This window comes from Homo sapiens, chromosome 2 (assembly GCF_000001405.40).
Source record: "Homo sapiens chromosome 2, GRCh38.p14 Primary Assembly".
Lineage (NCBI taxonomy): Eukaryota > Metazoa > Chordata > Mammalia > Primates > Hominidae > Homo > Homo sapiens.
The window spans coordinates 193,885,448-193,908,053 of NC_000002.12; positions in this window are offsets into that span (position 1 = coordinate 193,885,448).

A 22,606-nucleotide genomic window follows, 5' to 3' on the forward strand; every position below is an offset into this window, starting at 1 on the left:
CCAATGGTTGGAACTTGAGCTTCTCGGCAAGCCTCACCACTGTGGACTGAGGTGCTCTGGGGTTCTAGGTAAATTGAAAGACAGTCTAGGACACAAGGACTGTAATTTCTAGACAACTTGTAGTGTAGGCTGGGCTTAGAGCCAGTGAATGAGGGTGATATGTGACCTAGGGAGACACCAGCTGGCACAACTAAGGGAGTGTTTGTGCCATTCTTCCCCCAACCCCAGGCTGTGCAGCTCACAGCAACAAAGTGACTCCTTCCTTCTACTTAAAGAAAGGAGAGCAAAGAATAAAAATAACATTATTTTATATCTTGGATACCAGCTCAGCCACAGTAGGACAGGGCACCTGGCAGAGTCATGAGGCCCCCATTTCAGGATGTAGCTCCCTGGGAACATTTCTAGACACACTCTGAGCCAAAAGGGAATCTGCTACTTTGAAGGATAGGACTTAGTCCTGGCAGTATTCATCACCTGTTGACTAAATAGCTATTGGTCCCTGAATAACCAACCATGATACCCAGTGAGTATGCTATGGGTCTTGGGCACTGAAATGTTCCAGCTTCAGGGATGACCTAGCACATTCCAAACTGTGGTGGCTACAGTTAAATACTTCTGTTTAATAAAAGCAGAGGGAAAAGTAAAGGAGACTTTATCTTGCTCCCTAGGTACCAGCTCAGCCATGTAGGCTCTTGGCATCCCCAAATCCAGGTTGAGGCTCTTGAGCAGCATTTCTGGATCTACTCTGGGCCAGAGGAGAGCCCACTACCCTGAAGGGCAAGTGCCAGGTCAAGCAGCATTCACCATAAGCTCACTGAAGAGCCCTTGTCTTTAAGTGAACATTGATGGTGGCCTGGCAGAAGCCCTCATAGACTAGGGGTAGTGGTGGCCACAGGGAGAGGCTCCTCTGCCTATGGAAAGTGGGGAAGGGAGAGCAGGAAAAACTCTGTATTGTGATTTGAGTGCCAGCTTAGCCACAGCAGAAGATAATATCAAATAAATTGCTCAGGTTTTTGACTCCAATTTCCTCACTCCCAAACCGTATCTCTGGAAATGCCTGGGGCCTGGGGGAACTCACTATCCTGAAGGGAAGGGCCTTGAAGAAGGTCCAGTGCTACCCTGGCTTCAAGCCTAACCCAGGACCGTCCCAGTGGTGGTGGCCACAGGGGTGCTTTGCATCACCACCACCACTGCCCCCGCCCTCCCGGTTCCAGGTGGTTCAGTACAGAAAGACAGATTCCATTTGTTTAAAAGAAAGTAAGAGAAATGAACAAGAGTCCAGAGAATTCTTATTCAAGATCACCAAGGTGGTACCTGTAGGAGTCTCTCAAAACCACAGCATTGTTAAGCCTGGGACTCAAGTCCCTTTGAATAACTGGAAAGCCTTTCCAAGAAGGACAGGCATAAACAAGCTCAATCTGAAAACTACAATAATTACATAACTCTTCATTGCCCAGACACTGAGAAACATCTACGAGGATCAACAGCAATACAGGAAAATATGACACCATTAAATAAAATCAGTAAGACACCAGGGACCACTCTTGGAGAAATACACACATGTTATCTTTCAGATTGAGAATTCAAAATAGGTCTTTTGAGGAAACTCAAAGAACTTCAAGATAACACATAGAAGAAATGTAGAATTCTATGAGATACATTTAACAAAGAAATCAAAATAATTAAAAAGAATGAAGCAGAAATTCTAGCGTTGAAAAATGCAACCAAAATGCTGAGGAACACATCAGAGTCTCTTAATAACAGAATTGATTAAGCAGAAGAAAGAATTACTGAACTTGAAGTTAAGCAATTTAAAAATACAAAATCAGAGGAGACAACAGAAAGGAAAAAAAAAAAAACCAAAGAAGCAAACCTACAAGACCAAGAAATTAGCCTTAAAATGCCAGATCTAAGAGTTTTGACCTTTAAGAGGAGGTAAAGAAAAATACAGGTGTAGTAATATTATTCAAAAGGATAATAACAGAACTTCCCCAACCTAGTAAAGGATATCAACATCCAAGTACAACAAGGTTATAAAACACCAAGCAGATTTAACCCAAAGAAGACTACCTCAAGACATTTAATAATGAAATACCTAAAGGTTAAGAATAAAGAAAGAATCCTCAGAACAGCAAGAGAAAGGAAACAAATAACATACGAGGGAGCTCCACTACATCAGAGGCAGCAGAGTTTTCAGTGGAAACATTACAGGCCAGGGGAGTGGCATGACATATTTAAAGTGCTAAAGAAAATAGTCTTTTACCCTAGAATAGTATATCCAGAGAAAATAGCCTTTAAACATGAAGGAGAAATAAAGAACTTCACAGGCAAAAAAAAAGTTGAGGGACTTCATCAACACCAGAACTGTCCTGCAAGAAATGCTGAAGGGAGTTCTTCAATATGAAAGAATAGGATGTTAATGAGCAATAAGAAATATCTGAAGTTACAAAACTCACTGGTAAGAGTAAACACACAGAAAAACAGAAGAATAGTATAACAGTGTAACTATGTTATATAAACTTCTCTTGACTTAAGTAAAAACACTATATAATAAAACAATAAAAAATAACTACAACAAATTTTCAAGAAATAGACAATACCATAAGACATAAAGAGAGAAAACAGTTAAAAAGTGGAGATGAAGTTAAAGTTATTATTAGTTTTTTTTCTCCATGTTTGTGTTTGTTTAAACAATCAATGCTAAGGTGTTTTCAATTAAAAATAATGAGTTATAGCATTTGCAAGCCTTATGATAATTTCAAATAAAAAAATAAAATGGATACAGAAGAAATCAAAAACAAAAAACTAAAGCATAACACTGGAGATAATCACCTTCGCTAAAAGGAAAACAGGATGGAAGGAAAGAAGGAAGAGAAGATCATAACACAACCAGAGAATAACAAAATGACAGGAGTAAGTCTCTACTTATCAATAATAACCTTGACTTTACATTAACCAAATTCTCCAGTTAAAAGACATACAGTGCCCTAATGAATGAGAAAACAAGACTCCATGATCTATTGCCTATAAGACACACTTCATCTATAAAGATACACACAGACTGAAAATAAACAGACGGAAAAAGACATTCATGCCAATGGAAACCAAAAAAAAAAAAAAAAATAGCAGGAATAGCTATACTTACATGGGACGAAATAGATTTCATGACAAAAACTGTAAGCAGAAAAAAAGGAAGGTCATTATTTAATAATAAAGGGGTCAATTCAGCAATAATAGTTATACATTTTAAAATATGTAAATTACTTGAATTATTTGTAACACAAAGGATAAATGCTCAAGGCGATAGACACCCAATGTTCCATGATGTGTGCCTGTACCAACATATTTCATGTACCCCATAAACATATATACCCACTATGTACCCACAAAAATTAAAAATAAAAACAATTGAATAGAGACAAATAACGAAAAAACATATCTCATGTACCCCATAAATTTATTCACCCACTATATACCCTACGATGTAACCATAAAAATTAAAAATAAAAAAATTGAATAGGACAAATTTGAAACAAACTGAGGGCTTTAGTATTGTCTGGCTCTTGTTGTGCCAATTGGTTTCATTTTTTTACCTTTCTCAGGAAAAAATTAAAATAATATTTAGAAGAGAACTTTATAAACTAAATTTCTCTATGTCAAAATGTATTGTTATTACCATGCTCCTACATTCAGTTCAATTCTCTTTGTTTTTAAGTGGGAACTGCAGATGGGAAATAAAATTATTACATTGCTATATTGCAAAAGCATTTGCATTACAGCAACTAAGTTATAAAATAGTCACTAAAACTCTAGTTTAGTGTTTCCTTATGTGAAATAAAAATGCAAATTTTATATAGCATTAGTGAATTCAGGATAAATAAGTGCCTCTTTCTTTTCAGGGCTGTTTTTTTATTTAAAAAAATAAAATATTATTTTTAGTTACAAGCCAGGATGTGTATTTGACTTGATTAGTAGGCAACATAAATATTTCTTGCTTCAAATTCTAACTGGAATATTTAGAATAAGGTCTGATAATAAATATGGATCTGTTATTAAGTTTGACTTATACTACCAATGCTCATAATTCCAGTTATTTTCTCATTTTAAAAATTCTGTAATTAACATGTAATGTAAGTAATAGGTATTTAGTAAAAGTCTCATCATTTAAGCAGCCTGACTCCTCATAGGCCTGTTTAATTAAACCAATTAAATATCATAAATAAATATCTGTTTAGTTTTGTTGTTTTTAAGTAAATGAATTTATTAAAACTATTAGAAACTAAAATTAAATCCTATTAACTAATTATAAAAATAAAATTGACAAAATTTATATAGTCATTATTAATATGTGAGTAATTCATGTTTGTTCAAATGTTTGGGATTATATTTGGGCTGATTTTGATCTTTATAAGTGCCAGATTATATTACTATGCTTCTTTTCAGAACAATTATGAAAGTTGTCAGTGATGTTAAATCACTAAAGATTTCCAGCTCATAAGGAAATTGGTGTTATTCAGAGAGATATCAAAGGGAGGATGAGGGGCAGGTTTGAAGGGAATATTTTTGGAATAGTGCCTCTGGGGTGTTTGTGGGACCTACAGATGAATATATAAATGGAACAGTTGGAATTTTTGGTTGAGAATTTAGTAAAGATATTGCTGAAAATCAAGGATGTGGAAATGTAAGTATTAAGCTCAAACCTAGGAAGTGTACAGAGGGAAAATAACCTGTATTTATTTATCACTCAGAGTGTTAGTTTTGACAAACCAATATTGCCGTAAGTCTATAAACAGCGATTTTCAAGAAAGTTTTATTTTACAAGTACAATCAGCATTATGAAGTCAATAGAGAACGTTGAGGCATCATGGAAATAACAAGAGTGGAAAGTTCTTACAACACCTAGTTCTAAAAATTTCAGGGTTAGAGGTGGTCCGATAGTATTAGGGGCATGAAATAGATGTACCAGAATAGCATTGTAGTGAGTAGAGGGAGGGAACACTGACAGGAAGGCTGGGTGATGCAGAGTGGGGGTCAACCCCAGGAAGCAGAAAGTAGGGTAGAGAAGGATATGAAGAGGTTTAGAGTGGGGAACAAACTAACACCTGCATAGGTTCAGAATACACTCCTGCGGAATTCTAACATTTTTTAAAATGATGAACGATTAAAGAATGGCAATAAGCAATGGGGAAAAAAACTCCCTGTTCAATAACCGGTACTGGGGTAACTGGCTAGCCATATGCGGAAGATTGAAATTGGACCTTTACCTATCATCCATCTAAAGTTAATATACAAAAATTAACTTAAGAAGGATACAAAGCCTAAGAGCGAGACCTCAAACAATAAAAATCCTAGACAAAAACCTAGGAAATACTCTTCTGGACATCAGCCTTGACAAGAATCTATGGCTAGATAGTTTTTTTTTTTCTTGCAACAAAAACAAAAATTGACAAGTAGGACCCAGTTAAGCTAAAGATTTTCTGCACAGCAAAAGAAACTATCAACAGAATAAAAAAAAAAACAACCTACACAATGAGAAAAGATATTCAAAATCTATGCATCCAACAAAGATCTAATATCCAGAATATATAAAGAACTGAAATAAACAAGTAGAAAACAACTAACCCCATTACAATTGGCAAAGGACAGGAACTTACACTTCTCAAAAGAAGACATACATATGGTCAACAACCATGTGAAACAGTGCTCTTCATCTTTAATCATCAGAGAAATGCAAATCAAAACCACAATGAGATACCATCTCACACCAGTCAGAATGACTACCATTAAAAAGTCAAAAATAAGAGACGTGGTGGGGCTGCAGAGAAAAGAGAACAGTTATATACTGTTGGTGGGAACGTAAATGAGTGCAGCCACTGTGGAAAGCAGTTTGGAGATTTCTCAAAGAACTAAAAACAGAACTACTATTTTACTCAAGATTTCCATTGCTGGGTATATACCCAAAGGAAAATAAATATTCTACCAAGAAGGCTTGCACCCATATGTTCACTGCAGTACTATTCACAATAGCAAAAACTTGGCATCAATCTGGGTGCCCATCAACAGTGGATTGGATAAGGAACATGTGGTACATTTACTCCATGGCATACTATTCAGTCACACACACCCAAATGAAATTATGTCCTTTGCAGCAACATGGATGAAGTTGTAGTCCATTAGCCTAAGTGAGCTAATGGAGAAACAGAAAACCAAATACCACATTTTTCCATTCATACATGGAAGTTAAACATTGGGTACACATGAAAATAAAGATGGGAAAAATAAGATAACTACAGGAAGGGGAAGGAAAGGAGCGGGGCAAGTGTTGAAAAACTACTTATTGGGTTCTATGCTCACTACCTGGGTGTAGGACCCAATCATACTTCAACCTTTATCATCACACAATATACCTTTGTAACACAGCTGTACACATACCCCCTGAATCTAAAATAAAAATCAAAAAATAAAAAGAAGCCACTTACTATGGAGGTGGGAGGAAAACTAAAACATATTTTTTTTTCATAGTGAATAGAAAGAAACTTGTAAGCAGAAGAGAATCAGAAATAACATATGCTGAAGCAGGATCAATAACAATAAGAATTAGATGTTGCCTACAGGATTGAAAAACCATGAAAATAGTATATACTTCATTAAGAGTATTCATGGAGTAGTAAGGTTGAAACAGCTATGGTGGGAGGCGTGAATACAAGATGAGGAAATAGAAACAGTGGGTTTAGTCTCCTTTTTCATTAGTCTTAAGTGGGAAGATCAGGATAATGAGAAAGCAATGCATGAAAATAGAGAGGAGGAACTATGTTTACAATATGAGAGACCTGAATGTATTTATTTGTTGACAAGAAAGGACCAATGTAGAAGCAGTATATGCAATCTAAACATGGGGGTAATTATAAGTGGGGAGAGAATTATAAATGAGTGTTCCAAATACATTGAAACTTTATTGTGTAGAGACATAGCTTTGTAAGTTCAATTAAGTGCTAATTTAATTCAGCTAGTCTTTCGTTTTGTCCTTTTCATTACTTTATTTATTTTTAGAACAGAACTTCACAGTGTACAGTACAAAAATGAAGTGATAGGTTCATGATGTTAACAATCTTGTAAGAATAAAAGATATAATGTTTCTGAATTTCATAGTGAAGAGTTTATATTTTACTTTTTAAATAATGAAAATGTATTAAAATTTTAAACACATAAATGAATATTTTAGGTAAACCTGAGAGAATTTAAAAGGAAAGTGGAAAACATTGGTTTCTAGTACCTCATACAAAACTGATTGAAAAAAGTAGAAATATATGAACACCAACAGGAAAATATGGATAAGTCAAATGTTAGCTAGATGTCTCAAATTTTTGTTTTTTTTTTCTTTTTTTCTTTTCTGGATACAGGATATCTTGAAAAATCTCTAGCTACTTGGTAGAACTCAGTGAAGGAATACTCTGAAAGGCAGCACAAGTCCATCTATTTATAATCCTAGAACCCCAGGTTTGAATTGGAGTTTTTGTATTGTTTTCCTCTTCCCTTTACCCCAAAGTGTGTTGTACCATGATTGGAATTTTAAAAGAGCAGCAGTCTGGCAGACGAGATGGTAACACAGCCTGACTGTGTTATGTCTTTAAACTTTTAGTTTTCCAGGGAAAAGCTAAAAGTTCCATAACTGACTTTCTATCTTAGATATCAAAAACAATGGGATGCCATTAGTAAGGAGATAGGAAGATGTGTGGTTGATATGAGAGAAACTCTGTGTGGGTTATCACTATGGCTTAAGTAATCTATTAGTAAGATACAAGTATTTGTGTATAAAATATGCCAGGATTCTATCATATAGAATGGCTAGAAGACAGAGTCCATTTAAATTCTTCAAATCATCTTAAGCCACTCACTTATCACATGACATGACTAAATCCAATTTGTGTTTTAGAAAGGAAAAAAAAATAAATGGATGAAGATGAAGATAATACTTGAAGCAATGTAGTAAATGCCAAGGGTATGAACTAGGCAAGGAGAATGAAAATTTAGAACGAATATAAGACATATTTCTTGGTTAAAATCCACAAGATTTGGTAACAATTTTGATATGCAAATAAAAAGAAAGCTGATCAAAAGTGGAGGATATCTAAAAAATTTTAGTTCAGAAATTATCCAAAACAAAAAACACTGAACACTATCATGTTTATGAGAGAAAATATAATTTTCTCATTTTTAAAAATATACATTATACTTACTGAATATGCAAAATGTCCACTGACATTGCAAAGGAAGCAAAGAACTTCCAGGTCTAGAAGACAATAGTGATGAGACCATGTCAGTAATGGAGAGTAGGAAAACTATTACATTCATCTGTATTTGTATAATATAGCAACACATTTGAAATTTGCTAGACCTGCTGTAAAACACTATTAAAAAGAAATGCAATACCTGACATTCAGGAACTGGTCGTCTGGCAATATCAGCTGAGTCTTTCTTCTTTTTTTTTTTTTTTTTTTTTTGAGACAGGGTCTCCTCTGTCACCCAGGCTGGAGTGCAGTTGTAGTTGTGTGACCATGGCTCGCTTCAGCCTAAACTTCCTGGGCTCAGGTAATTCCTCTGCCTCTGTCTCCTAAGTAGCTTGGTGCACACCACAGGTGCACCCCACCATGCATGCCTGGCATTTTTTTTTTTTTTGTAGACAACAGGGTTTCACCATGTTGCCCAGGCTGGGGGCCTTTCTATTCTTCTGTAGAACATAAACTGTTTTACAGGACATTCATCAGATAAGATCACTTTGTGACCATGATGAATAGGGAAAAAACAAGACAGTTTTATACTCATATCTGAACACAGACCAGATACCATCATTGTCTAAACCACAAATTGCCCAAATTCCCCTTATCCTGACCAATCTGACTGATTTCTGCTTCTTTACCAGTTATAGCTTTAGCCTAGGTCTAGACTTTATTCATTTTATATAAGATTTGTTAAAGTACCCAAACATAGAATAATTCCTGCTTCCAGAGCAAAGTCCTACCTCCTTAAACGTTTCCCCAAATCACCTAACCTAAACCCAAATCTTATATAATTCCTTTCTAGCAACCTCTAACTGAGATGCCTTACAGTTCTTTATGGTGTGCATTCTCCTTTCAAGCAAAATGTACTAAATTCAATTTGTTCAACTGGTGTTCCCTGTGGTCTTTTTGGCTGAAGGAAATTGGGAAAACTGCAAAATCTTCCATGTCCTTCCATCCCTCATCCCTCCCACCATCCCACACAGAGTAAGAAAAAGCAAAAATGCAGTATTCTGGAGGAACAAAGGCATGAAGAAAAGTTCAAACAAAATTTTGGTTTCATAACTTGAAAATGGAAATTACAACTTAAGATATTTTAAAAAATTATTCTAGTAATTCTTAACTTTTTCTTTCTTATGGCTGAGGCTTCAAATATTTATCAAATTCTTAATATGTAGGTTGTTTAATCCTCAATATGTAGTAATATGTAGGTCCTTTAATCCTATGCTGGATCACTATTAAAATCTGTGTTCAGGGTATTTTGTTTCTGGAAATGTGATTAACTGCATTATTACAATCAAGTTATAGTTATAAATTATTATAAGCTCTTTCAGTTTTTACTCAATGGCCTAAAGAACTTTGTAATCAGTAAAAGTCTGATTGGGTTATTTCATCATATTATAATAGAACATGATCCTCTCTTCTTTCTGTAGTTCTAGCTTATTCTGCTATGACTCCTAGTTTGCCTTTCTTTGTAGTTTCCAACATGTGGCAGCTTAACATTTACATGTGAGAATGATGATGTTCAGCACCTCTTGCTCTTTCATGTCTGGCTGGTTAAGGGGAGTGTTATGTGGATTGATTTCCACTGGTACTCAGCCAGTCCCTTGTTTCCCATTTGCTCACTGACAGGTTTTATGAAGGACACTAAGCGCACAGTTGCCACTTCCTTTATGAGTTCATTTGTAATGTTGTACCATGTGCCTTTCCCAGTTTGAGCTTGTTTCCTGCTGTTTCTTTCTCTGGCAGCAAAGGTGAAGGTTATTTTATGACTGTGCAGATGATTGCCTCACACTTGGTACTGTCTATAAGGTCCCTTTGTACCTCATATAGCTTCTTGAAATATACTTTCCAGTGGTTTTAGATGTCTTCCTGTGCTGTTAGCACTTTGCCATCTGCTGTCCGGATGCCACTGCAGTCTTTCGGTAAAATTTAATGTTTACAGATCCCTTCGTAGTATTTACATCTACCCCTTGTTTCCAATATTTTTTACTACATTGATTGTTATCTTTTAATCTCTCACACTTGGGTTCTAATTTTTCCCAAGCCTTTTTCACCCCATTATAGAAAATTAACCATTTTGTTAAATGTGTCATGCTAACATAGTCAATGCTTTAGTAGATGATGTTCAAATGTATCACAAATATTTATTAAAATAAAAGTGATCATAAATTAAATCTACTGGTGTTAAAAGTTCATCTGTCTGTTAAAATTTTATAGACACCTCATAAGTAAATTCTATGCATCTAAGATGTCATGGTTTAAAAAAGTGTTTTCTTTATCAAATCTTGAATTCATCCCAGGGTTATGACACCAATTTGATGTTTGTTGTGGTTTTTATTTGGAATGATTTTTATGAGCACATAATATTGAATTTATCTAGATTTTTATGTGTTTAATTATTACATTATTATTTAAGAAACATAATTTTATACAAATCTTTGAATGTGATTATCACTTTATTTGCAGTTATTGTTCAAACTATAACTACTGACAGCTCCCTGGAATGTATTTAGACATTCCTGACACTTTCACAAAATGCAATCTATTGCTTTGAAATTGAAAAAAAAAATTCTGCTTCTGACAAGATGAATTTATGTTCTAGCCCTCCCAATATTGGAATTACACAAAATAAATATCTTTATGGCTTTTATTACCATCACCTTACACATTCTTCTTTTTTCACTAATACGAACCAGTTGTAATGGGGAAAATTCAAGGTCATAAATAAAAGTGATGTAGTGACACAAGTTACCAAACATTGTAGAAGTGCTTCAGAGAACCCAAGGGAAATTTTCTAAAAATACACTAAAAATTACAGTGATGACAAAACCATATGGCTTAAAATGATCATACATTTCACTATAAACTAATTTTATTGTTTTAAAAATGTATTAATTTATGAGAATCATTCTATTTACTTCACACTGTCCTATTTCTCCAAAATGAAGATTTTCTGTTCCTTTTGCTTACAGCAATGGTTACTGGACTCTTCTCTGTTATTCAAATGTGTAAAACAAATAGGAATATAGAAATGAGATACACAAGTCATTCTGAGGTGCTATACTTTGTATTAGTTTGGTTATCCTTTTCAAGGAACTCAAAACAAAAACAAAACCAGAAATAACTAGGCATCAAAACAAGGGCTGACAAATTACCATCTCTTCTCTCTGTCTCCACACACCTACAACTTCAGTTATAGGTGAATAAAAGTGCAAATAATATACAAATATATTATGTTTTTGTTAAGTTTTATTTTATAATTGCCTTGATTAATATTAGTATCTTTAAATGAAAGAACTAGAAGTATGTATTATCATTTGAAAACTTATAAAGTGTAACAGGATCTCTTTAGGTGTCCAGAGCTCTAAGCATTCTCCAACTAAAACAAGCTAATAAACTCAGGACCTCATTCCTCAGTGAATCAAGTAAACTTTTAGGTTTTTATTGTTTTTTCCCATTACTTTCTTCTCCCAAACAGTCATATGCTTTCATAAACATTCCAGGGGTTATAAGTATAAAGAGAGCAGTTCAAGTATAACTAAACAGTGGCAGTCAAAATAAAGCATCATTATAGAGTTTTAGATCAAATAATATCAATAATATTGCCTGATAATTAAGCATATGCTGGGAACATGAGCATTGTGTTAATTCTTGAATTTTAGTGAAGGACAGAAATAGCAGTCCTTGTGAAGTGAAAGTTTAAGTGAAACAAAGTTTCCATTTAGTCTGAAACAAATGACTATCTAGAGATTTAACAAAGTAAGAAAGTAACTTTGTGTGTCTTTCTGATAAGATAATTAAAGTAATTAAAACTACTAGCTAGTAGCAAATATTTTATTGATTCTTTTTATAAGGAATATTTAAGATGATTCATGTGCACCCAAAAAAGTCTCAGATTTAAGGGATGTTATAGAACAGACTGAAGGCTACACCTCTGATTGGTTCCATAATAGTTAGGAGGAAATCACATAGCTTTTTAAATTAAGTGGTGCTTCTTATTCACTCTTCTTTAAGAGATTAATTCTTTTTGTAACTCTTATTTATTTGAAGTCCTTCTTTATCCTGTATTGGCCATCATTTCCAAAGCCAAATGCAAATGTCCATACTCCTACTCAATCTCAAGGGTCTGCTGTTCACATTGCCATTCATCCTGTTCTGTTTGTTCTTCCTCCTGTCCTAACTGTGAATTTATGTTATTTCTCATACAGCATTTGATCTAGAAACGTGAAAGCTATTTGAGGTGTTTTTTCCTCCATGGCTATCACAAATAATAACGTGTGGTTTTAAAAATTATATCTCCCAACTGCCTCAAAAGGCTAACTCTTCTTTATTTCCATAGCCATTGTCCCTCAAAAGGCTAACTCTTCTTTATTTCCATAGCCATTATCCCTCTTCTGATCACCTTGTTACATTTCCCCCACGACCACAACCAACTTTTGTGATCACCCTGCTTCTTGGATTTGTCCAAACTGCAGATATGGTTATGCCACCCCTGCTGTGGACTGAATGTGTTCACCAAAATTCATATTTGAAACTTAATGGCCAATGTGATGAAATTAAGAGGTGAGATCTTTAAAAGGTGATTCAATCATTGGGGTGGAGCCTGCATGGATAAGATTAAGACTCTTGGAAATGAGCTTGAGGGAGTGGGCTTATTTTCTTCTGCTCTTCTACCATGTGAGGACCCAGCTTTCAATCCTCTTTGTCCTTCCCTCTCTTCTGCCATGTGAGGACAGAGCATTCATTTCTTCTGGAGGATGCAGCAAGAAGGCATCATCTTGGAAGCAGAGAATAGCCCTCATCAGACACCAAACTTGCTGGAGCCTTGATCTTGGACTTTACATTCTCCAGAACAGTGAGCAATAAATTTTTAGTGTTTATAAACTACCCAGTCTCAGGCATTTTGTTATAGCAGCTCAGACTAAGACAGACTAAGACAATATACAATGCCTTAGTTTAATACTTTAATACTTTCATGAATAACAATAGTAAATAAATGAATACAATTATTTAAATTATGAGATTGTTCATTGTCTCATTGTCTAGTCCTTACCTGTATCTGTCTCTCTCCACATTCTGAAATCGACCTTGTGATTTTTGCATAATTGTGTTATACATAACTGTATACCCAGATGTCCCTCAATTTCATATATATGTTTACAAAATAGACATTTTATCTTGCTCTTCTCTTTCCTTTTTATTTGATACTTTTCTTATCTATTATTGGTTTAGCTATTCCTAGTGGCCTAAAGATGTAATTTTATTGCAAACATCTGAACAACTCAATATATTCTTCACACTCCCTGCTTACTTTAAAGCTTTAGTATTTACACAGTTGGGGATATATCTATATAGAAATACTTATCAGTGAAGTAAACCTTTTTTCCCTGATGTTTCATCTTAATGGTAAAATCATCCTCCTGTTGCCATTACACTCTTCAACTTATGTATAAGAATTCTGTTAACTCTAAGCAGCATGTTTAAAGTAGGTTAGTTCAAAGTTGTGAGATGGTTGCACATTTTCAGTAGGTCTAAAAATTAAGTTCCACATTGAATTGTTTTAAAGCACTATGGCAAACATTAAAGTGTTTAATTCATTATTGAAACACTTTCATTACAGCAACAACAGTTTAACATCCTGCAGTGGTAATTCTAAATGAAAAATTAAGTATATATTTGTGTTAGCTTAGGTGGTTTATATATTCGATGATACAGTCTTGTTATACAGGATATTGCTCTTCAGAGAGAGAGGCATATGCTTTCAAGTGATTCATTTAAATGCATCAAATCAATACAGAATATTTTTAGACTAATTTTGTTTAATTGATTGAAGATTTTTCAGAACTTTTTTTCCCAGGGAACTTTAGTACAACTATGTCAGCACGAATCATGAAAAGAATGCATGAATACAGTAAAGAGTTCCTATTCATTTTAATTTTGAAAGATCTAAACTTCAGGGGAAAAATCCTTAAAACTACAATAAATAATCAAGTAAATGTAGGTATACCAATAATACTGGAAATGAAATAGTATTCCCCTTTTTGTTTTGTGTGTAATAAATTAAAGTAAAAATAAAGTTTGTGTGTGTCATTTTAATATATGAATTTTTAATGTGTAAGGGTTTTAAAAGTTAGTTTAAATTGAATACTCTGTCTCCTCTATTTATGCTTAAAATATTTCCATGCTTTTTGATTTTTTAAAATCATGCAGCACATATGAAGCTAGTTGGAATGGTGAATTAAGAAATATTGTACTTGGACATGTAAAAAATCCTAAAAGTTATACCTGCTTATATCGATGTAACCTATGCTCATAGTCTGGTTGATTGTAGATTGCTGATAACTTATTTTTTCATAGCTCTCTGCTTATTAGGGATTTTATATATCTTGATTTAATTAATTTAAATTTTCAGGGAGGGAAATCTTTGTTCTTGAACTGGGCCTAATTTAAATGTTATTCTTTAATGTCATCACTTGCCTTGGAGAATAGAATTAAGGATAGTGATATCCTTATCCATACTCTGTTTCTAACAATGGATTCATAGATTAGACTATGGGATAGTTCAGGAGAACTTTTTAATATTCAACTTGTGATCATCTAAACCTGCAATAGGAAAAGGAGATTAAGTTTGTTTATGAATGACATGTGCCATGACGAGCACAAAAATATCAACTTCATATTGCAGTTCTATTTTTTTCTTTCTTAGTGTAAAAAGCAGTTTCTCTGACTAAGATCAAGCAACCGAACCACTACTATATTGTTCCTACCACTAACGGCTGAGCTGTAATGCTAAACAGACAAGACAGTGGCCAGTGAAATACATTTCCTGCTTTTAATGCCAGGGACTCATATAGCAAAAATTGAAGACATGTTCCTCTAAGGAACTACTTTGATGATATATATATATATATGAGATATATCTCATATATATATATAGTTCCCCCCCCCCCCCAAGAGATTCATTAAGGCATCCTTGTACCTGTTTAACTTTCCTTGGAACAAGAATTGTTGATTGTGATGTAGAGGTAACCTATCTAGCAGTGTAGGGGCTATTTATGTGTGCCTATTTTAATTTAAGTAAAATTTAATTCCGTTCCTTGATCTCACTAGCCACATTTCAAGTACTCACTAGCCACATGTGACTGGTGACTAGTGACACTTCTATTAGTGCCAAAACTTGTAGCAGACCACCTTCTCCAGAGAAAGCATTCACATCTCATCCACTTAGGGAAACGACACCAATGACTTGGGGTATAACCAGTAATAATTAGGTCCTTATAGCTACTAATGAGTGTGTTTATGAGTCATATATGCCTAAAAATATATTTTGTACCTACAGTTGTTCATTTTTATTTATGATTTTAAATTTCCAGAGCACAAAACACATGCTCACTGTGAACAACAGGCACACAAAAAATCAAATGAAATAATGAAGAGTGGAGGAATGTAAAATGTGAAAGATCTCAGTCTCACCTACCAGATCTCCACTCCTCAGATGAAAGTTTTCTAAAAGTTTGGCACTAATCATTTCAGACCTTCATTCATCTATCCAGCACACATCTATCATATTATAAATAATTGAAGATCAAATAATATGTGCATTTTCTCCTATGTGGATTTGTCTGGGAAATCAAAAAATATTTCAGAAAAGTTTTGACCTTAGAAAATGAGTTAGAAAAATCTCAGATTTTATGCTACCATTTTAAAATTTGTCTGTGCATTTGTCTATGCATCCCAAATAACAAGACTGAGTGGGACGGGCGCAGTGGCTCATACCTGTAATCCCAGCACTTTGGGAGGCCAAGGCAGGTGGATCACCTGAGGTCAAGAGTTCGGCACCAGCCCGGCCAAAATAGAGAAACCCCATCTCTACTAAAAATATAGCAATTAGCTGGGCATGGGGGCCCACGCCTGTCATCCCAGCTACTCAACAGGCTGAGGCAGGAGAATCGCTTGAACCTGGGAGGCAGAGGTTGCAGTGAGTCGAGATCACCCCACTGCACTTCAGCCTGGGCGACAGAGCAAGACTTTGTCTCAACAACAACAACAACAAAAACAACAACAACTACCAAAAAAAAAAAAAAAAGACAGAGTGCCCCTACAATGAACACTGGTTGGTAAAGATTCCATAAGCCACTGGCAAAATTCTCCACTTTTTTCCCAGAATATGCAAATAATTGGACCAACTTGTCAAGCTATCAACATAAAAGGGCATTAGTAAAAACAAACTTATTTTCAAATTATAAAGAAACCATCTTATCATTTCCTTATCTATTATCAGGAAAGATATTTATTACTACCATATCCTTAAGCTTTAAACAAGGCCAGTAGTGCGATAGTAAATTGTGCTTCAGATTGAGAACTACTGACTCTTCATGGAAGAGATTGTCTGTAGGATATATTTCGTGTCAGCCTTTTGCCATTCAATAGTCATAAGGAAGGATATTATAAAAAGTAAATAAATCTTGGGGTGGGGGCTGTTAGGGGAAAGTCTAATTTCTTTCAAGCTGTAGTGTTCTTATATTCTCCATCACTTTCTAATTTTTTAATATCATATTTCATATGTAGATAGAGCCATAGATTATACAGGAAGCTGTTCAAATATCTATGTATGAAGCTATTCATGTAATAAAGAATTACATCTTCATATCTGCTTTCTTACATTTCAAAATTCCGTCTCTCAGAAGTATATCCTGAGTCTAATTAAATTGTAAATTTAGAATCCCCAATGAATTAAGAATCTTCCCAACCAAGCTGCAGATTTTATGAGTTTTGAAATGAACATATTTTCAATTAGAGTGGATAGTATGTGTTATTTTTTCCTGCGGGCAAATAGCCAAAATATATGCATTTCTCACTATACATACATGACACATGGAGAAGAAAGCAAATTTAATGGAACTGATGCCTTTGTAATGGCTGTGCAGGTCCCATAGGATACTCTTGTTGTGTAAGCAAATGGGTGAATGAGTGACTAGATGAGAATTTTGGGGTCACATTGCACTGCTCAATTTGGGACTGTTGATGTTTATAATTAAATAGAGAAATATCTAAATCCATACACAAAACATTGAAGGGATAATAAGAAACCACTGATGATAAGGGTATGAGGAAATTAGCAAACACTCTTACACTTCTGATGGGAATTTCAACCGATACTCTTAATTGGACCAAGGGTAAAATAATATAACAAAATGGCAAAAATAAATAACAGAAATACTCTTTAACTCAAAAATATCTCCTCCAGGAATATATTTGATAAAATGCTAACACAAGTATAAAAAGAAACTATTGCAATATTTTCTGTAAGAGCAAAATCCCATAAGCAGCCTGTCATCTACCACAGTGCACAGTTCTAGAAAATTAAAACCTAGGTGTGTGAAGTAGTTCTTAACTAGACCTTCACATCAGTATCAACCAATGTGAAAATGCTTTAATACATAGACCAAATGCTTACATTAACATGCCATATGAGCATTTTAAAAGATGTCTATATTGTGCTTATTTTATGAGACCACCAAAATAGATTACTTTATAAAGAAAAAAGAAAGGTAAAGAATAGCATTTCCATTTTAATTAAACAAAATGGTGCAGATGCATTAAATATGTATATGTGTAGGATATATATATATATATATATATATATATATATATATATATACATACTGTAAGATTACTATAGAAACAACTTCCTAGTTAACTATGTAAGTGGGAGGACAGTTTGTGGGTAGGACAAATAATATTTTTACTGTTTGATATTTTTATCATGTGCATTCATTATTTTATAATAAGATTAGGCCTGGCATGGTGGCTCAAGCCTGTAATCCCAGCACTTTGGGAGGCCGAGGCGGGCGTATCACGAGGTCAGGAGATCGAGACCATCCTGGCTAACGCGGTGAAACCCCGTCTCTACTAAAAATACAAAAAAACAAGCCGGGCATAGTGGCAGGCGCCTGTAGTCCCAGCTACTCGGGAGGCTGAGGCAGGAGAATGGCGTGAACCTGGGAGGCGGAGCTTGCAGTGAGCGGAGATCGCGCCACTGCACTCCAGCCTGGGCGACAGAGCGAGACTCGGTCTCAAAAAAAAAAAAAAAAAAAAAAAGAAATAAAGAAAACAAACTATCAGCCATGTGGAATAATTTATACCTTGGAGGTGGAGCCAAGATGGCCGAATAGGAACAGCTCCAGTCTACAGCTCCCAGCTGTGAGCCAGGCAGAAGACGGGTGATTCCTGCATTTCCAACTGAGGTACCGGGTTCATCTCACTGGTGAGTGTTGGAAAGTGGGTGCAGGACAGTGGGTGCAGCGCACCGAGCATGAGCCGAAGCAGGGCGAGGCCTCGCCTCACCCGGGAAGCGCAAGGGGTAAGGGAATTCCCTTTCCTAGTCAAAGAAAGGGGTGACAGAAGGCACCTGAAAAATCGGGTCACTCCCACCCTAATACTGCGCTTTTCCAATGGTCTTAGCAAACGGCACACCAGAAGATTATATCCCGCGCATGGCTCGGAGGGTCCTACGCCCACGGAGCCTCCCTCATTGCTAGCACAGCAGTCTGAGATCAAACTGCAAGGTGGCAGCGAGGCTGGGGGAGGGGCAGCCGCCATTGCGGAGGCTTGAGTAGGTAAACAAAGCGGCAGGGAAGCTCCAGCTGGGTGGAGCCCACCGCACCTCAAGGAGGCCTGCCTGCCTCTGTAGACTCCACCTCTGGGGGCAGGGCACAGCCAAACAAAAGGCAGCAGAATCCTCTGCAGACGTAAATGTCCCTGTCTGACAGCTTTGAAGAGAGTAGTGGTTCTCCCAGCACGCAGCTGGAGATCTGAGAACCGGCAGACTGCCTCCTCAAGTGGGTCCCTGACCCCCCGAGTAGCCTAACTGGGAGGCACCCCCCAGTAGGGGAGACTGATGCCTCACACGGTGGGGTACTCCTCTGAGACAAAACTTCCAGAGGAAGGATCAGGCAGCAGCTGTTCCTTCCTGTTCACCAATTGCTGTTCACCAATATACACTGTTCTGCAGCTTCCGCTGCTGATACCCAGGCAAACAGGGTCTGGAGTGGAACTCCAGCAAACTCCACAGACCTGCAGCTGAGGGTCCTGACTGTTAGAAGGAAAACTAACAAACAGAAAGGACATCCACACCAAAACCCCATCTGTACGTCACCATCGTCAAAGACCAAAGGTAGATAAAACCACAAAGATGGGGAAAAAACAGAGCAGAAAAACTGGAAACTCTAAAAATCAGAGCGCCTCTCCTCCTCCAAAGGAACGCAGCACCTCACCAGCAACGGAACAAAGCTGGACGGAGAATGACTTTGACCAGTTGAGAGAAGAAGGCTTCAGATGATCAAACTACTCCGAGCTAAAGGAGGAAGTTCGAACACATGGCAAAGAAGTTAAAAAACCTTGAAAAAAAAGTAGACGAATGGCTAACTAGAATAACCAATGCAGAGAAGTCCTTAAAGGACCTGATGGAGCTGAAAACCAAGGCACGAGAACTATGTGACGAATGCATAAGCCTCAGTAGCCGATTCGATCAACTGGAAGAAAGGGTATCAGTGATGGAAGATGAAATGAATGAAATGAAGTGAGAAGAGAAGTATAGAGAAAATAGAATAAAAAGAAACGAACAAAGCCTCCAAGAAATATGGGACTATGTGAAAAGACCAAATCTACGTCTGATTGGTGTACCTGAAAGTGACGGGAAGAATGGAATCAAGTTGGAAAACACTCTGCAGGATATTATCCAGGAGAACTTCCCCAATCTAGCAAGGTAGGCCAACATTCAAATTTAGGAAATACAGAGAATGCCAGAAGAGTCAGTTTTCTCATCGGCTTTACTGATGCTCCAGACTATACAAACTAAGTATCCCATATCATAAAGTATTAGGACATGAGGGCAACTGATAACTTTCTCATTCCATATCCCTCACTTTTCCTCCTTGGCTTAGCACAGTGACATTCTACTGAGCACTGGTAATGGGAGTAAGGTGGTTAATAAAAATCTTTGCTTAAAGGCCATAGTTACTGGAAAGTTAAGACCAGATTCTACAGATTTGTATTTATACGTTCACATTAAAATCACCTGTAGAATATTTTAAAACTAGATATTTGTTGGCCTCATGTTTTGAAGCTTGGATTCAGGATGCCTGGGTGAAGCTGGGGTATCTGTGTATTGAAGACCCATTGCTAACTCTAATATACAGTCTCAGTTTCTAGAGGGGGTAAAATAAAGCGTCAACATTTTTTAGACCATATGCATAAATGTTACTCTTTAATACATCCAAAAATGACAAAAGAGTAATTTAATCTCATCTTGTTTAAACACTTAAAAACCCAGAGAGAGAAAGAGATAAATTTGAAGGGATGCTGATGTGTAGCAGCGCCAAAGGTTACAATTTTCTGTTTCTCTCTGTTTGCCACTCTTCTGATTCTGTTCTGGAGGCCACTCTGCTATGTGAGAGAAAAATCCCATTTTTCCCTAGCCATCAGTCATGCAAGATCCCCCGCCATATATTTCCGGGGAGGTAGCACCTTAAATGGTAGCAGGATCTCAGTTAACCACGTAATATTCATACCAATACTTTTAGTATAAAGACAATTCAATTTCTGTAATTTCCAAGTTGTGCCTCAGAAACAATGCAACTTTTGAAAGTTTTACATTAGCCTGCATAATAAGTGCAAAGTATTTATAATGAGATTTGCTTCTGGCTGTGAATTGGCCAATGATAGAAGATCATATAAGAGTAGAGGGAAGACAGGATGTGGAACATCTTCCAATTTGGTGAAGGTACATCACTGATAAAAAGAAAGGCAGACATTTAGTGAGGTCACCTAAGAACTCTTATTGTCATAGGAAATGGTCCCAAATGGGCAGCAGACTCCATCCTGGTAGAATTTTTGAAGGAATTCCTCACTAATATAGGGTTAGGAGCATCCTAGATATTCCAGAATTCAGAAGTCTTTCTGCTTAGCAAGAGTGTAAAGGCAACTTCTCTGCCTTTAAGCAGATGGTTATAAATGACTAAATGTTTTTAAAAAGCAAGTGAGTCCAGGAACAAAGTAAATACTTACAGAAGAGGATAACACTTTGTAGTGCATCATATTGAGCATTACCAAAACCCCTTAGTACAACAATTTCATTTCATTATGATATTTTTTCCTCATTTATATATAGCCCTCTAGGTCTATCTTGTGGTACGTTGTTTACTTAAGGAAAATAATATACAATAAAATGTATTTATTGGAAGGAACTTGGTAGTAGTGCCCCAAAGACTCTTTAGTTTAGCATTTTACTATTTAATTTAAAATATATATAATTATAGTGTTATATTTTTGTGATTCTCAATATAACTAATATTTTCACATATATTGTTTAAATCTCAAAAGTACCTCATGAACTAAGTATCCTTATTACTTCTGTTTTACAGATGAGTGCAGCTCAAGTAAGTTAGCTAACTTACTCAAAACCAAATAATAGCAATTGGCATAAACATCTTTTTTTCCAACACAGAACTTCTGCCTCCCATTGGTGATAATTAATAATAGTATTTGATTTTCTGGGATTCTATGAATAGAATGTAATTTTTATTGCTTGTAGAAGCTTTCTGGCCTTGGTACTTCATTCAATCAACGTTTAATAATGTGACCTCCTTGAGGTATACTGTTAGAAAATAAAATTAATTAGTAGGAGCCCAATGGTGCAGATAACATAACTACTGAAACATCTGGTTCTCCCTCCCATGTAGGACATGGGCTCTACAAAGGGATAATTTTGAACCACAGATTTTTTTTTTGTATTGGGAAAGTAATTCATATTATATTAATAGACCACTGCACAAGATATTTAACTTTAAATGTGTCCCTTAAAAGTTAAATTGATGTTAAGATGGTTTTCTAAACTAATACACCAGATGAATCTTCAAGACTGGGGACAGCTGTCTGTTCTTTTACATCACACTTCCAACAGTGCTATCTCTAAGATGTGCTGGCAAGAAACAGGAAGTTCGTTTCAGCCAAATTTCCACATTTCAGAGTCTTGCTGATGAGAATAGGAAAAAAAGTCTCTCAACAAGTGTGGGTGGGTGATCAAACCACATGTATATAGTACATCACATACTCACACTTCCCTAATTCCAGAGAAGGACTATTTTTATGTCTACTTTTTGTGTTTTAGATAAATATCAACTCTTTCAGAAGCTAGTGCTTCAAGATGGAAACAAGTTTACTAAACAGTAAGTTATGATTTGAAAATTCAGCAATCACATTAAAAACTTTTCTGAGCTCATCTGGTTTTTAGAACTACAGGCAAATCTGAAAAAAAAATACATATG